The following is a 16,714-nucleotide window of genomic DNA, read 5'->3' as shown; positions in this document are numbered from 1 at the left end:
TGAATATAAGTCATGCCAGCTGACCTTTAGAATGGAGCTTAGGTCCTCATTCCCCTCATCAGAACTTCTAGGAAAGGAGTGATCGAGCAGAGTTCCTTTATGTTGAGCAGATGCAGAAGTGTAAGAAAGGAATAAGCTACTGGTATCCAGGATTATCTAGCTCATCTTTCCAGTGGAGCTGAGCCTCTGTCCCTTAAAGCAGTGCTGAACGAATCTTTGTTGGAGTCTGAGTATATTTTTCTCTGCTATTGTTGTTAAGTGGTTGGTGGTTAAAAAACAGGTGAAATAGCTTCTTTAGCCCTCTGTCTGGGCACACCATTTATTAAATAGGTGTCCACAGGCTGATTTGGGAACCTAACTACTCATCCCACCTTTGTGTCTTCTTAGCAGTACTACTGGCCACTCCTTCCTTCTTGAAACTATTTCTTCCCTAGGCTCCCTGACACCATACTCTTCTGGCCTTTCTCTTACCTTGCTGGCCACTCCTTAACCTCCTTTTCTGCTCAGCCTCTCAAATGGTGGCATACCTGGCATTAGTTCTGAAACGTTTTCTCCATCTGAACTGTCTCTAAGTGTTCTTGTTGAGTCCCGTGACTTGGAAGTTTAAATACCATCTATACCTGATAAATGTCTATCTCCAGCTCTGACCTCTGCCTTGGCTTCAGGTTCCTATCCAGCAGCCTACCTGGTATCTCCAGCTTGATTTTCAGTAGTCATTTCATGCTTATCATGCTCCAAACAGATTTATTTATTCTCTCCAACCTGTCTTCCAGCCCCTCAACTTGTTTCTCTCTAAATAAACTGAGTTGAACAATCTGCTCAGCTATTCCAGCCCAAATCATGCTTTGTTGTTCCTCCATCAACTCATATTCAGTTGCCCCACAGATCCTACCAGTTTTGCATCCAACATAAATCCCAAATCTGTCCACTCCATTACTACCACCTTAGCCCAAGCTGTCATCTTAACAGCTTCCACTATTTTTTCTTTTTCTTTCTTTTTTTTTTTTTTTTTTTGAGACAGAGTCTGTCTTTGTGGCCCAGGGTAGAGTGCAGTAGTGCAATCTTGGCTCATTGCAACCTCTGCCTCCCAGGTTCAAGTGATTCTTGTGCCTCTCAGCCTCCTGAGTAGCTAGACTTACAGGTGCATGCCACCACATGTGGCTAATTTTTGTATTTTTAGTAGAGACGGGGTTTTGCCATGTTGGCCAGGCTGGTCTCGAACTCCTGACCTCAAGTGATCCACCTGCCTTGGCCTCCCACGGCGCCAGAATTACAGGCATGAGGTACCATGCCCGGCCTTCCCCAAGGAATTTAAACACCAAAGTGCTGGGATTACAGGTGTGAGCCACCATGCCCAGCCAATTTGCCCTTTCTTCATACCCTTCTTTCTGTGTCTATTTACGCAGGCAAATAAAACATAGTCGAATCAGACACTACACTGCTGGAAATCCTCCATGGACTACCCATTTCATTTAATATAATTCCAAATTCTTAACCAGTACCCAAAAGGCTTCTTGATCACTGCATGCCATGAGCCATTTCACTGCTCCAGGCACCCTGGTATTTTTTGTCTGTACCTTGACTATATCTTTTGTCTTGGGACCTTTATGTTTTCTCTGCCTAGTACATTGTTCTATCCTCTCTGTTTAAACCTTGAGCTCTAAGCTTAAGTTTTAAGCCTAGATGTCACTTTGTTAGCAAGACTGAGATTTCCTATCCCTTCAGTCCAAAGTAGAGTCTCTGTATTACTTTCTGTTATGTTGCCCTGTTTATTTTAAATGTAAGGTGGGGGAAAAGGAGGTTGAAGGGGTGTTGATGCTTCACAACAGGTCCTTGCCTGCTCAGTCATATGTAGAAATATGTATCACAATCTCAGATGTCTTTTTTGTTTACTGTCTGCTGCCTCCATTGAGATATACACTGTGAGAGCAAGAAGTTCGTCTGCCCTAAGCACCATTGGATCCGTACAGATAGTAGGCACTGCCTGGCACACAGGGCTAGTAGCACTTCATAAATACTTATGCACTGACTGAATGGATTCATTGATTTATTATATTGTTTCTGAGAAAAAATAAGTTCTGGATTTCAGGTAATCAGTGTTAAGTAATTTGTAAAGTGACCTATGGCTATTTGTTAGGCAAGGTATATTTTTTGGTTTTTTTTGGCCCATGTTGAATTTAAATTCATTTAAAAATAAGCAGTTTTCTTTGTTTAGAAGTCTATGTCAAGTCTATGTCAATAACTACCAGATACTTACTAATTTTCTTTTCTTTTTTCTTTTTGAGATGGAGTCTTGCTCTGTCGCCCAGGCTGGAGTGCAGCAGCGCAATCTTGGCTCACGGCAAGCTCTGCCTCCTCGGTTCACGCCATTCTCCTGCCTCAGCCTCCCGAGTAGCTGGGACTACAGGCACCCGCCACCACACCCGGCTAATTTTTTTTTTGTATTTTTAGTAGAGATGGGGTTTCACCATTTTAGTCAGGATAGTCTCAATCTCCTGACCTCATGAGCCACCTGCCTCAGCCTCCCAAAGTGCTGGGATTACAGGTGTGAGCCACCACGCCCGGCCAACTAATTTTCTTAATGATTCTTCAAAGTAGGCATTATTACTCACAAATGAGAAAGTGGAGATTTGAGAAGATAAATCATTTCCCCAAGGTCACACAGATGGTTGTAGTAAAGCTACGCTTGATTCCAAGTATATAGTTACTTTTTTTCATATCCTGGATTTAGTTATTTCTCAGAGGAGCATGTGATTCAGGAAATGGCAGTGTTTTATATGAGAGGCAGCCTGGTGATGTGGAAAAACCACAAGTTTGGGGGTGAGAGAGACCTTTGTTTGAAATCTGGTTTTTGCCACAGCTGTGTGATCTTGTTTGAATCACCTTCCAGGGTTTAGTTTTCCGTTTCACATGAGAAGTAGAAGTGTACACATGCCTGGCACATTAGAGGCGTTCAGGATATGGAAGCTGCTGTTGTCATGGTTGATAGTGGTCTTTCTGTTTTCCTAAAAGTATATGTGGAGAATTGAAAACTAATAACTACTATGTTTGGTTTCACAGATAGAAGAAGTCAGAGATGCCATGGAAAATGAAATGAGAACCCAGCTTCGCCGACAGGCAGCTGCCCACACTGATCACTTGCGAGATGTCCTTAGGGTACAAGAACAGGAATTGAAGTCTGAATTTGAGCAGGTGAGGACCTGGACTCCCTTCAGCCACACCCCTCTTCCTGACAGGATTAAGAGACTCTCCTTTCCTTTTAATGTACTCTGAGGATGTCGAAGATTTGGAAATCTCCTTGTATGTCTACAAAACTGCTTCTTTTTACATAATGGTGTACCTGTGTGTTCATGATCAGATGTGTTTTTAAAATATATATTCTAGTCATTTGGAATCTTCAGAGCTTTAAGGAGAGTTGGTAAAGGGGATTTCAGGAATGCAGACAGTAATATTTGACATGTGTATCTTCCTCCTATAGATGGCATGGTACTGCTTAGATTTTTATAACTGAGGTAATTTCCCAGAGAAGTTTTGAAATCCCAGTAAATTATCAGGATGCCTGTAATCATAGTTTCTATTCAAGAAATCATTTACAGTAATATTAACTTGTTACTTTGTCTTGCAAGAAGATATTGAGGTTTTCTAAGTAAAATCTTCCAGAGAATCGCGATGTATGTCAGTATGAAAAGGTATTTTAAATTCTATTTGGATATTTTTCTGAGAAAAATTAATGTATAAGCTCTTAAATACAAGATATTAGAATATAATTTAATCTAATTATTATGTTTAGGTTTGCAGTACAGATAATTTACTTTCTAAAGCTGACAATTTGTGGCTGAGCACAGTGGCTAACACCTATAATCCCAGCAATTTGGGAGGCTGAGGCGGGTGGATCGCTTGAGGACAAGAGTTCAAGACCAGCCTGCCCAACATGGCGAAACCCTGTCTCTATTAAAAATACAAAAATTACCTGGGCATGGTGGTGCATGCATGTAATCCCAGCCACTCCGGAGGCTGAGGCATGAGAATCGTTTGAATCTGGGAGGTGGAGGTTGCAGTGAGCTGAGGTTGTGCCACTGCACTCCAGCCTGGATGACAGAGCAAGATTCTGTCTCAAAAATAAAATACAGTTGGCAGTTTGTTTCTGACTTTAACAGCCTTCTCTCTTCTCTTGGTATGCCTCCTCTAATATTAGGTTCCATCAGTAAACCTGTAAAGAATTATATACATCGGCCGGGCACGGTGGCTCACGCCTGTAATCCCAGCACTTTGGGAGGCCGAGGTGGGCGGATCACGAGGTTAAGAGATCGAGACCATCCTGGCCAACATGGTGAAACCCATCTCTACTAAAAATACAATAATTGGCATGGTGATGCATGCCTGTAATCCCAGCTACTTGGGAGGCTGAGGCAGGAGAATCACTTGAATCTGGGAGGCGGAGGTTGCAGTGAGCCAAGATTGTGCCACTGCACTCCAACCTGGCAATAAAGCAAGATTCCATCTCAAAAAAAAAAAAAATATATTATATACATCAAATATGAGTCAGGACATTTTTGAAACTTTACACAAAATGTAGGAATTTCGTGACAACTCTAAGGCCCTCTTTGCTTCAGCAAGTAGTTGCTGGAAGATTACACAGTTACATGACATGCATTGAGTATCACTTTTTTCTGGAACTATTTCTGTTTTATTTCAGAACCTGTCTGAGAAACTCTCTGAACAAGAATTACAATTTCGTCGTCTCAGTCAAGAGCAAGTTGACAACTTTACTCTGGATATAAATACTGCCTATGCCAGACTCAGAGGAATCGAACAGGCTGTTCAGAGTAAGCATAAGCTATGTTTATCTTACAGATAATTTTCCTCAGCATAATTTATCAAAATAATTTTATAGGGAAAATGGGGTACATGTACTGACATCAGGACATAAAAATACTAATCACTCTACTTAATTGCAGTTTTTGCCATTAAAAGTAATGGCAAAATCTATATAACTAGAAATTTATACCTTGTATGACAAACACAAAATCACCATTTACAAGGCTATTTACCCAGTATCCTTTGGCTATGTCGCATGTGCCTGGGTGGTAAGGGCTAGGGGTCAGTGTGGTCCCATGCTTGCCTTCCACAGACTTGGTGGGTTATCTGGAGGTGGTGATTTGCCGAGTCCAACTACCAAATGGACAGTATTTATGCTGAGGCCTCCATGTGCCACATTGAAAGAGAAATGTCATGACAATGAGGGTATTAATAAAATGGGTTTTTTTAGGATGTTATGGAATCTTTTTTTGTCACATAACAATAAAAATAAATTCAATACTCATGGAATTTCAAGATCCAGTAGTCTGTTAAGTTCGTTTGAAGTCTCCCATTTCTTTTTTTTTTTTTTTTTTTTTTTTGAGACAGAGTCTTGCTCTGTCGCCCAGGGTAGAGTGCAGTGGTGTGATATCGACTCACTGCAGCCTCCGCCTCCTGGGTTCAAGCGATTCTCCTGCCTCAGACTCCTGAGTAGCTGGGAATACAGGTGCGTGCCACCACGCCTGGCTAGGTTTTGTATTTTTAGTAGACACAGGGTTTCACCATGTTGGCCAGGCTAGTCCTGAACTCCTGACCACAAGTGATCCACCCACCTCGGCCTCCCAAATTGCTGGGATTACAGGCATGAGCCATTGTGCCTGGCCCTGAAGTCTCCCATTTCTTTGCAGAAAATTTCTCATGGCCTTAGCGTTAAGTCTTAGCCTAATTTAAATAATATGTTTCTTTCTCAACTAGTAAAGGTAAAAATATGTGGATTAGATATCATGCAGATGTGAATGACTTCTGACTTTGATATGAAGAGGCCAGCTAGGAAAATACACCAGAAATAAGTGGTGGGGGTGGGGTTGTAAGAAAGTCTCTCTGGCCTCATCTTGCACATGTGTAGATGTAGCTTGTTGAATGTGCATCAGTTCTGTGGATGTATGTTGTCAGATGGAGAGAAAAATGTTTGGCTTTGCCTTTTTTTCTTTGTAGGCCATGCAGTTGCTGAAGAGGAAGCCAGAAAAGCCCACCAACTCTGGCTTTCAGTGGAGGCATTAAAGTACAGCATGAAGACCTCATCTGCAGAAACACCTACTATCCCGCTGGGTAGTGCAGTTGAGGCCATCAAAGCCAACTGTTCTGATAATGAATTCACCCAAGCTTTAACCGCAGCTATCCCTCCAGAGTCCCTGACCCGTGGGGTGTACAGTGAAGAGACCCTTAGAGCCCGTTTCTATGCTGTTCAAAAACTGGCCCGAAGGGTAGCAATGATTGATGAAACCAGAAATAGCTTGTACCAGTACTTCCTCTCCTACCTACAGTCCCTGCTCCTATTCCCACCTCAGCAACTGAAGCCGCCCCCAGAGCTCTGCCCTGAGGATATAAACACATTTAAATTACTGTCATATGCTTCCTATTGCATTGAGCATGGTGATCTGGAGCTAGCAGCAAAGTTTGTCAATCAGCTGAAGGGGGAATCCAGACGAGTGGCACAGGACTGGCTGAAGGAAGCCCGAATGACCCTAGAAACGAAACAGATAGTGGAAATCCTGACAGCATATGCCAGCGCCGTAGGAATAGGAACCACTCAGGTGCAGCCAGAGTGAGGTTTAGGAAGATTTTCATAAAGTCATATTTCATGTCAAAGGAAATCAGCAGTGATAGATGAAGGGTTCGCAGCGAGAGTCCCGGACTTGTCTAGAAATGAGCAGGTTTACAAGTACTGTTCTAAATGTTAACACCTGTTGCATTTATATTCTTTCCATTTGCTATCATGTCAGTGAACGCCAGGAGTGCTTTCTTTGCAACTTGTGTAACATTTTCTGTTTTTTCAGGTTTTACTGATGAGGCTTGTGAGGCCAATCAAAATAATGTTTGTGATCTCTACTACTGTTGATTTTGCCCTCGGAGCAAACTGAATAAAGCAACAAGATGAAAACTGAGTATCTTATCCCTTTTCAAAAAGTACAGTTCTGGCCAGGTGCAGTAGCTCACGCCTGTAATCCCAGCACTTTGGGAGGCTGAGGCGGGTGGATCACCTGAGGTTGGGAGTTCGAGACCAGCCTGACCAACATGGAGAAACCCATCTCTACTAAAAATACAAAATTAAGCTGGGCGTGGTGGCGAATGCCTGTAATCCCAGCTACTCGGGAGGCTGAGGCAGGAGAATCGCTTGAACCTGGGAGGTGGAGGTTGCAGTGAGTCAGGATCGCACCATCGCACTCCAGCCTGGGCAACAAGAGCAAAACTCCGTCTCAAAAAAAAAAAATTCTAGTTTGTTGTATGTACAGAAAATATCCTTGAGAAACAACAACAGCAGAAGTAGGAACTTCTAGCTCACAGTTTCCAGGCTGTGAATTGCGTCACCAGAAGTCCACAGCCTGCTTTTTGCCTTTGAAGGTTTTGGTGAATTGATTCCTGCTGCTCAGACTCAAAAGAGTAATATACAAGCCAAAGTGCCACATGTATTTATAATTGGGGATATATCGTTCTAGTGACTTGTTAAAATGTTGGTCTCTACCCACAAGTTAATTCAGCAGCCCTCTATGGGTCACAGCTGACAGTTCTAAAACACTGGTAATGGAGCTTAGTTCTTTCTAGTACCTGGGCTGTGAATCCCTTCAAAGTGGGGGGATGGGGAGCCTGGAATCTTAATGAAGAGATTAAATAGTTTTGTTGTGTATTTGATGTAGATTGCTATAAAACCCAGAGAACTTTCTCAGTTCATCTTTCTAAAGATTAGTACAACTGTCATATTGCATAAGCACTAACAAATTCTTTTACTCCATGAAGACCACCATCTCTACATAAAAATGTCAACTTTCTTCAAAATTACAACTGTTTGTTGGGGATTGTGTGTTCACAAAGAAATTGAGGAGGCACTTTTATCTGGGCAACACATCTGGAATCACAAAAGGGGCAGCTTCTGCATCTGTAGGTGTATGGCACTGGCCTTGTCCTTTGATTTTGGGATATATTGGTCCACCTTTGGCTTGTGTTAATGTTGTCAATAGTCCTTATATTCCCTCCTAAGTGGATTTACTTAATTCAACAAAATATATTTAGTTTCTGATTGGAACACATGCTTTGTGTTCCTTCCTGAGATTAATGCCCGTCATCTCAAAGGCAGAGGCACTCTGTGCACCTACCTAGAGGATACTAAGTTTTTATTAGGAGATAATAGGACTGTTCTAAATTCAGTCTTCCTTTTTCGAATGGCACAAAATTGCAAAATACATTACTTGTAAAGCTAAACTTCCCTATTTGTCATATTAGAAATGCTTATAATTTCCATTCGACTTGTATATGTAAAATATTATAGGTTATAAGAAAATCTAAGTTTCTCTTGGAGCCCTGAAATAACTTCCTTCAGATGTGATTATCTGTCTGAACTTAGAAGCAGCAATACTGAGTGGTTTATTTATTATTATTATTCTTTTTTGAGACAGAGTCTCGCACTGTCGCCTGGGCTGGAGTGCAGTGGCGCAATCTCTGCCCACTGCAACCTCTGCCTCCCAGGTTCAAGCCATTCTCCTGCCTCAGCCTCCCGAGTAGCTGGGATTACAGGTGCCCACCACCATGCCCGGCTAATTTTTTTGTATTTTTAGTAGAGATGGGGTTTCACTGTGTTGGCCAGGCTCGTCTCGAACTCCCGACTTTGTGATCTGCCCACCCCGGCCTCCCAAAGTGCTGGGATTACAGGTGTGAGCCACCGTGCCCAGTCAAGTGGTTTATTTTAACCTGTAAAACAAAATAATGAAGACTACAAGCTTCTGAATCTTAGTAGTTCCTTTACCAGCCAACACACCCACCCCCCTTGATTGCTTATTAGGAACAAAGATGATACCGAAAAGGGGACCCTGCTTGGCCAGGCCTGTATTTTCCTTCCTCGTGCTTAAAAATCTTCCTGAGATGTAACTCAGTAACATGTGCAAAAAGCAGCGGAGCCTCTTCTTGGATTCTCAGTGCTACTTCAAGGAGATGATGGAGTCCCAAGGGCCAGGGTTATCCGGGAGGTGGATATAGCCCTGAGCCATTAGGGCAGGTAGGCTTCTCTTCACCCTTTCATTTAAACTGCAAGTGAAAAGTCACACGACTGCCATTTCCACAGCAAAAATCATAAAAAGCCAAATCATCACTTCTGTCTTGGTTTCATCCTCAATCTGTTTTACTCTGAAATTACTTTATTGCCTCCCTCCTCACTGATGTAGGACAGTGTTCAACATCTTAAAACTCACACATCCTGATTTAACATTTTCATGTTTAATATTTCAAAATAATGTAACAAACTAAAACCTAATTTTAGACTGTCTTTAAGGCACACCACCTTCATATTCCTTTGTATTTAAATCCCCTGTTCTCTTAACAGGTTCTGGATAAAAGCAGTCTCCAAGTCCCAAATGAGTGGTGCCACCAGTTTTAAAAGTAACTTGCTTGGCTCAGTGCAGAACAGATCATTTGATTTAACACAGAAGGGAAATAAAAAGGCGTATTAAATTTCAGGCAGATTCGCTTCATCAGGTCCAGTGGTCACTACACCCCTGTTGTACTATAGGTCTATGCTTCCCTGGTTTCCTTCCCATTGATGTATCCAGAGGTTGGCAGGGAGCTTGAGGAAGCAAAGGATGGGGGCAGGGAGGAGGGTCACCTGCCCACTGCAACTCTTACCCATGTGAGGAGTAGGTTTCACTAGTCTATTATTAGTTTTGTTGAAGGACTTCTGCAGGGGTTGTGAGGCAAGAGCTTGTGAAAGGGCCATTGTTGTGGGAACAGACACCACGGGTACTTGTGGCAGAACTTAGATTGTCCTGGGAGTAAATTCTGTCATGACCTTTACTCCTCTTGGACACTCTTTTCGAGCATCTTAAATCACAGAGCTCTGAAAAACATCCTTGGGCTTGATCCCCAGCAGTCCTGAATCCTGAAAGTCCACAGCTGGACAGTTTTTTTGGTTTTTTTTTTTTTTTTTTGAGATGGGTTTTCACTGTGTTGCTCAGGCTGGTCTTGAACTCAAGCAATCCTCCAGCCTCAGCCTCCCGAAGTCCTGGGATTACAGGTGTGAGCCACTGTGCCTGGCCTGGACAGCATTTTTTAATAGGCTATTTCCTGGGCCAGGATGAAGACTTGTTCACTGCCTAGATTTTGTGTAATCTGATTATCCCATGTCCTAGCAAATTGCCTTACAGCACCCAAATCAAATACACCCATTTTTTTGGTAAAATGCCACTCTACCATTAATGTTGAATCTAAATGGTTGTATAAAACCTGCCTTATACATCCATGCTCCTAGTGACTCAATTTCCTAGCGTATCTTACTTTTTGACCATGACCAGCAGTAAAAAATTTACATCACGATTTGCTACACTTAATGCATATATCTATGCACAGATCTATACTGCAATGCAAAAATGCACCATCACAAAACTGTAGGTGACGTGCTTAGATGTTCTAATGCATTTCATTAAAAAATTGCAATCACCCACAAAAACTGATTTCAAACCCTGCAGTTTGAAAGACAAATGCTACCCTGTCTTAGAGAATATGGGTACATAGCCAGTGACAGTACAATCTGACATCTTTTCCTCTAAGCCTAGTGCTTGGTATAGTGTTTATATAGCAGCTAACTGGTTTTTTTTTTTTTTTTTTTGCTTTGAGGTTGCTGAAAGGGGAGTCTGCTTTACTGTGGTTACGTTAGGACTTCTCGAAGTTCTGTTTCTTAGGCGGTCATATGCCCTACTTTTAGTAGCAACATGACTAAGGTCTCAAAATCAATGAATACTTTGCAGAGTTGGTGGCATTCATTAAGCATTTACTAAGAAGCACCTACGTGCCAGATTTGAGTTTGATTCTAGACATGTAGAATCTTTTGAGTGCCATCCAACCTCTTGAATACTTTGATGGCTATAAAACAACCCTCAAATGTTGAACCAAACTAGAAGTCTAGTTTCTGACTTCTACACATTGGTAATGTAACTCTGTGGCAACACTGAGCAAGTTTATTCCACATATAGTAAGACTCCCCTTCCCCTTCCCATTCCATGAGTCCTTAATCCCATTTGCTTTTTTTTTTTCTTGGAGACAAGGGTCACTCTGTCAACCAGGCTGGAATGCAGTGGTGCAGTCATGGCTACTGCAGCCTCAGCTTCCCAGGCTCAAGCAATCCCCTCCACCTGTCTCCAGAGTAGCTGGGATTACAGGCATGCACCACTACGCCCAACTAATTATTAAAATCTTTTGTAGGGAGGGGGGTCTCACTGTTACCCAGGCTGGTCTCAAACTCCTGGGCTCAGGTAATCCACATTGGCACCCTAAGTGCTGGGATTACAGGCATGAGCCACTGCACTCAGCCCCATTTGCTCTTCCAAAATTCTGGTTTCTCCAAGACAGGGTCTTGCTCTGTTGCCCAGGCTGGAGTGCAGTGGTGCAATCACGGCTCACTGCAACCTCCCTCTCCTAGGCTCAAACAATCCTCCCAACTCACCCTCCCAATTAGCTGGGACACAGATACATACCACCAGTCTGGCTTTTTATTTTTTTGTAGATCCGGTGTCTCACTATGTTGCCCAGGCTAGTCTCGAACTCCTGGACCTAAGTGATCCTCCCACCTCTGCCTCCCAAAGTGCTGAGGTTACAGGTGTGAGTCACCACACCCGGCCGAAGAGAACATTTTACTCATAGTAGAGGCTAAAGACTATGATAAAATAAGCATTTACAGAGAATGGAGACTCATCCTGTGAGGCCTTAATTTTTCTCTATGTTCAAGGCAGTTAATTGCTCAGAGTATGGGTTTGGAGGATCTGTACCACAAACTTAAAAGTACCAAGCTAACAAATCACTCATTTTGAAAGTCTACTACAAATTCATAGGCCATCTACCCAAATGGATTTTCTCCTATCAACTCTAGCTGCAGAGCAACATGGTGATTCAGAATAGGTGCCTGGATAGGAAGAGGCATACCGTGAATCTAAGGACTGTATTGAATAGTAAGGCTAACAAGAGTCAGGCATCTGCAGGTGCTGATGAACTAGAGACAGGAAGGGACCGAGTTAACATTTCAGGTGGCCAAGGCTCTCCTTGGAAGCTGTAAACCAAGACTGAAGGCTAATTTACTCTCTCTGTCCTGCAAATCTGCTTTGATATGGAGCAATACCCATGGATGCTTAAGTAGCTAGCTACTATATCGGCTTTTTTTTTTTTTGTCCCTCAATTAAATGCCTTAAGACCTGACATTCCAAGAGAAAACAAAAACCATACTTTGGTTTCTAAGGATGTATGACTGGGTCCCGGCCTTCAGAGGATGGCAGACAGATGGGAACACAAGTATAAGTAGACTAGAGTATCCCATAATTGTCAACTCTGGCAAGGTAAAGATGAAGCTGCTTATGTGGACAACTCGTGGGGTACCTAAGTAAATCTGGGAGCCAGGTACGTGCAAAGTGGTCAGTGGTAGAAGCCCTCATGAAGGCAGGAATGCTGCAAACCTCCACTTACTGCCTTCCAGGACCACTTAAGTCATAGTGGTAAGAGCTGCTAGAAGTAGTCGTTACCAACTTGATTACCAGCAATACACAATGATGTCAAGAAGACATTCCACATCCTTCTGTCATCACTAGCTCTCATTTCAACCACTAAAATAGGTAACAGCTATAGACAAAAAAAAAGGGAGACATGAAACATTCATGGCTGTTCAAGTTAGAAAACTATGGCAGCGGCTATATTAACAAAAATACAAACGTGTACACTAATTACAACATTTATCTACAGTCATTTTACCAGTTGTGCAGCCTAAACTGCCATTATCTTGTTTAGTCATTCCTAAGATGCGTTATTTCTGACATCGAAATATCCTGAAATTGGGAAACTATTGACCCAACCCCAACTGTGTTAGAACTGCATGAACACCTAAGATGAAGGACCAGCATCACAGCAGCACATCAGGCCAACAAAGGCAGAAGTCCAGCAGCAGGAGAGGGCAATCGCACGAGGACAGCATCGTGAGGTCAGCTCACCGACACTCTAGGTGTGCAGGCTTATCCTGATGACAAGAGCCATGGACCTCACCATGTGTCTGAAAACCGCAATGTTGCTACTTAAATGCTAAGCCTTTAATGGTGCATTAATAGATGGTTAAGTAGCATATTAGCAGCTTAAATCTACATAAGTCAGCTGTGTACTGACTGTACCTCACAGTAACAAATTCACCAAATCTGTATCTTTTCTTCTTTGTAACAATGTTAAATATTGGTATATCTCAGTTCTCAGGTGTGATTCCAGCAGCTATGGTGAGACCCATTGCTGCTCCTGAATCTCCACTTTCATTTGCCTTCACTGGTGTCACTGTCGCTGTCACTGCTGCTGTCAGTATCACTGTCACTGGTCAATGCAGTTAGATTACTTAGGGCTTCCCTGTTAAGAAAAGAAAATGGAGGATTACACTGCAATTCAACTGGGTGCTGGGGTTCTCGGTGTCTCTGACACTCACCTATAGCCTGTCAGTTTTGAAATCAGAAAAAGGGACCCTGCAGTTGCATTAAACTATATTAGAAACAAAAAGCTTCTAACAGTCAAATCTATAGGCTTTCCTGACTTGCATGACAAATGAAATAGTCATTAAATTACTACATTCTGACTTTTTGAAAGGAAATAGAAGGGATAGAAAGCTATGAACATTTTGAATGGGCAGATGGATGAAAGGTCTCCATTTTACAAACTATGCTTCATGGTGACCACTTACTTTTGTTCCTGGTTGATTGCAAAATCACTCATTACTCTCTGGGTGAGGCCCTCACAAATAGGTAAGCTGAAGGCACTTGCCAGCTCTACTACTTCAATGGCCTGGGAAGGGCTGTTAGACACTTTTGCACTGTCCATAAGCTCATTCAGCAACTCACTTCTGTAAAAGAAAGGCAAAGTGTGAACTTTCTCCAGCCCCTTCAGTAAAACATTTATAGGCAAGATCCAGTGTAAGTTCAGTAACAGAATTCCCAACAGTATTTCTGGAGACAAAGATGAAGTCTAACATTTATTTTTACTTGTTTCCAGTGAGGTTAGAAAGTCTAAAGGGCCAAATGGATTATCAACATTCATTCAGTATGACTTCATGATGATCTATTCAATGTAGCCCCAATGTATGATGATCCGTCAACACAGATAAAAAACTGCTTGCCTCAGGATGCCCTGGATAGTAGGGAGTTGACGGTATGCTTGCCTAACAGAAGAGTGCCCAAATGTGGTGGCTAAGGCTGGTGAAGAAATTCCAAATGTGGCTACTTCCAGGCTGTACCCAAAGAGAGCTGGCTGATTTCAACTTACCTAGGAATCTTATTATGCTTCCTGAAAAGCCCCAACATTTTCCTGCTCAAGAAAGGAAAAAGATTATGAATACTATTAGAAAAACAAGGCAATCAGACACTATAGCTGTCTTCTCTCTGAAATCAGAGACTAAATGCCCTTTTCTTAACTATACTGTAAGCTCCCAAAGACACACATCTGTGGGCTCTACTAGCTCCCAGCCCTGTGTGTACATGAGAATCACCGCAGGTGCTTAAACTCCCCAAACGAATCTACACTGCAGTTTTCACAGGTAAATCTGATATGCTGCCAATGTCAAGATTTGCTGGTACAGGTTGAATATTCCTAATCCAAAAATGCTCCAAAATCTAAAACCCCATACACTTCTGGTCTTAAGCATTTTGGAAAAGGGATACTCCAACTGTATTTGTCCTCTTGTAGAGGATCACCACTGTCCTTCTAAGGAGGGAATCCATCCTGTGCACAGCTGGAAAAGAGGCATAGAACAGAACCTGCTGTTTCCCTCTCTTAAAGTACAGCAGGGGTTCAGTCTGTCTTAGAATTCTGTTATGAAGTGCAGGCTCAGATTGAGGCAACAGTCTCATGTAAGTGCTCCCCATCAGCCTGCCACATGCAGGACAAAGGAGAAACACATACATTCAGCTCCCATGACTCAGCTGAGGTCCGTACCCCTGCGCCAATCATCACAGCCTGGTTGTATCAAGTGTGTGCCAAACTGCCTGCGCTAACAACCAAATGCAAATGTCATACGTCTCTGTCACTAGCAGCATAGTTGCTAGAGAGACACGTGTGAGCCACACCTCAAAGACAAGCCTTCATCATCTTTTCCTGGAGATAGCTGACTAGCAATCAGATGTTCAAATAAAGCTACTTTCTTGTACAAGGAGCCATGCACAAGCACCCCCCACTAATGACTTTTAGAACACACATTTATATACAAAACAAAATACAGGAAAACCACCTGTCACTACCCCTACAAAAGATCCTTTTGCTCATTTTTGGAAACATGAATATGCATAAGGTTCCCATTCACAAACACTAAAAATTAGTATGTGAATGAAGTGCTGATAAAAACATAACCAGAACACAGTGGCACCAATCAAGGACGGGTTGTGGTCAAGGCCAAGTTTAGTTAATGTGCGTAAATGCCAGCTTCCAGAAGTCTAAGTACACAGCCCACATTTTAAGCTGGAGAGTGGGATGGGAGAAGCATCCAAAAATACTTCAATAACCCAAATGACCAAACCATTTTCAAAACTACGTTTCTTTGATCATATATTTCTTTGATCTTTAGTTCATTTAAGTGGAATAATGAGGTTAAGTGACTTACTTGTCCATAGACACAGAAAGTAGAAAGATAATTCTCAGCGTATGGTTTGAGAGAACTATGCCTTATCTCAACTACATCATGCATACTGTCTTCTTCCAAAAGTTTGCTTTTTAGTTGGTATTTGCAAGTTCCCGAATCAAATACGTGTTATGTGGCCAAATGAAAGAACCTCTACCAGCGTGGGCCAATGTTTTAGATTCAAATACAAAAGCTTCTAAAGTGTATACTTGTGGTACTGTACTCACCAGGCTTCCTGAGTTCTCCCAGCCCTTAAAAAGAGGATAGCTATACAGTTGAGAGAGGTGGCTGGCCAATCCTGAGCAGTCTGTCTGATGGGTTGGCTTTCATACGCAGATTTGATATCAGCAGCACAGTCAGCAAATGCCACCTGAAGCTGAGAAGCTTAGGAGTCAGCAGAACTGCCTAACTGATTTTATGAGAATTTCAGTTCAGGAGACTAACACAGGATCCTTAAAATCTGAGCAATGCATTTTACCATTTGAATATATTATGTGTATAGCACACAAGTAATTTAATAAAAAAAGGACCCTGTCCTAAGTATTTTGATTAGCCACAACTTTCAAATTCAGCTATGCATTTCCTTTGTAGATGGAGATTTTTAAAAAAGCAAGCTGAAGACAGAAGCTAATTTCATGTTGCTTGCTTTGGACTACAGGAAAGAGGGTAACTTTAAGAACAGATTTCTGCTAAGGGCAAGATATGTTTAGATGTATCATCACTCAAATATGGGTTTGGGTAGCAGAACTCTCCAAAATGGCAGATAAAACCAGGGAAGCTAGCCTTAAGAAGACCTCAGTATGGGAGGATATACTGGCTGGTGAGTTTCAGGCCTACCTCTGGTGGGTGCTTGTCCCTTGCCATGAGCATCAGGATCTCTTCTCTCAGGTCACTGCGGAAAGTATGACCATATTCTTTACTATCTTGAAACAAGAAAGGAACAAGGAGTGATCATTGTTATGTAAAACCAACACACTTTTGTTCACTGTCAACCTATTTTTTGGTAGGTAAAAATAAGTTGCTGTTATTTATTCT

At 42.2% G+C, this 16,714-nt stretch overlaps 2 protein-coding genes and 1 non-coding gene across 54 annotated transcripts in view, besides 2 other annotated features; 1 reads left to right on the top strand and 2 right to left on the bottom strand.

The window, feature by feature from the left end:
- The window catches only part of IMMT (inner membrane mitochondrial protein), a 51,527-nt gene extending 44,569 nt beyond the window's left edge, over nt 1–6,958 (top strand). For 50 of the 52 annotated variants that reach the window (NR_174397.1, NR_174395.1, NR_174400.1 and 47 more), the window contains 3 exons: nt 3,061–3,192; nt 4,697–4,826; nt 6,013–6,958. Coding sequence is in view for 43 of the 52 variants with exons in the window: in NM_001400117.1 (NP_001387046.1) it covers nt 3,061–3,192; nt 4,697–4,826; nt 6,013–6,626 (876 nt within the window). In the remaining 9 variants the exon portion in view is untranslated. Of the gene's footprint in view, nt 1–3,060; nt 3,193–4,696; nt 5,335–5,406; nt 5,525–6,012 lie in introns of those variants that run through there. The other 2 variants (NM_001400120.1, NM_001400121.1) reach the window with 2 other exon arrangements.
- Nucleotides 6,682–6,882: a silencer, noted in NCBI's record as "peak3777 fragment used in MPRA reporter construct". NCBI's record gives its function as "represses an SCP1 promoter by STARR-seq MPRAs in K562 erythroleukemia cells {active_cell/tissue: K562}" and the evidence as "EXISTENCE:reporter gene assay evidence [ECO:0000049][PMID:32103011]".
- PTCD3 (pentatricopeptide repeat domain 3) overlaps nt 8,737–16,714 on the bottom strand; it is a 35,923-nt gene continuing 27,945 nt past the window's right edge. The window contains exons 20-24 of the mRNA NM_017952.6: nt 16,517–16,602; nt 15,907–16,055; nt 14,332–14,373; nt 13,754–13,912; nt 8,737–13,425 (exon numbers count right to left, since the gene is read on the bottom strand). Coding sequence (NP_060422.4) covers nt 13,335–13,425; nt 13,754–13,912; nt 14,332–14,373; nt 15,907–16,055; nt 16,517–16,602 — 527 coding nt within the window. The 3' untranslated portion in view covers nt 8,737–13,334. The remainder of the gene's footprint in view (nt 13,426–13,753; nt 13,913–14,331; nt 14,374–15,906; nt 16,056–16,516; nt 16,603–16,714) is intronic.
- Nucleotides 9,434–9,728: a silencer, noted in NCBI's record as "tiled region #1812; HepG2 Repressive non-DNase unmatched - State 14:Gen5'". NCBI's record gives its function as "represses a minimal TATA promoter and a strong SV40 promoter by Sharpr-MPRA in HepG2 cells {active_cell/tissue: HepG2}" and the evidence as "EXISTENCE:reporter gene assay evidence [ECO:0000049][PMID:27701403]".
- Nucleotides 14,888–15,024, bottom strand: SNORD94 (small nucleolar RNA, C/D box 94). Its single transcript, NR_004378.1, has one exon. It is a non-coding gene; the product is annotated as a small nucleolar RNA, C/D box 94 (small nucleolar RNA).

This window comes from Homo sapiens, chromosome 2, assembly GCF_000001405.40.
Source record: "Homo sapiens chromosome 2, GRCh38.p14 Primary Assembly".
Lineage (NCBI taxonomy): Eukaryota > Metazoa > Chordata > Mammalia > Primates > Hominidae > Homo > Homo sapiens.
This window is presented reverse-complemented; position numbering and strand designations above follow the sequence as displayed.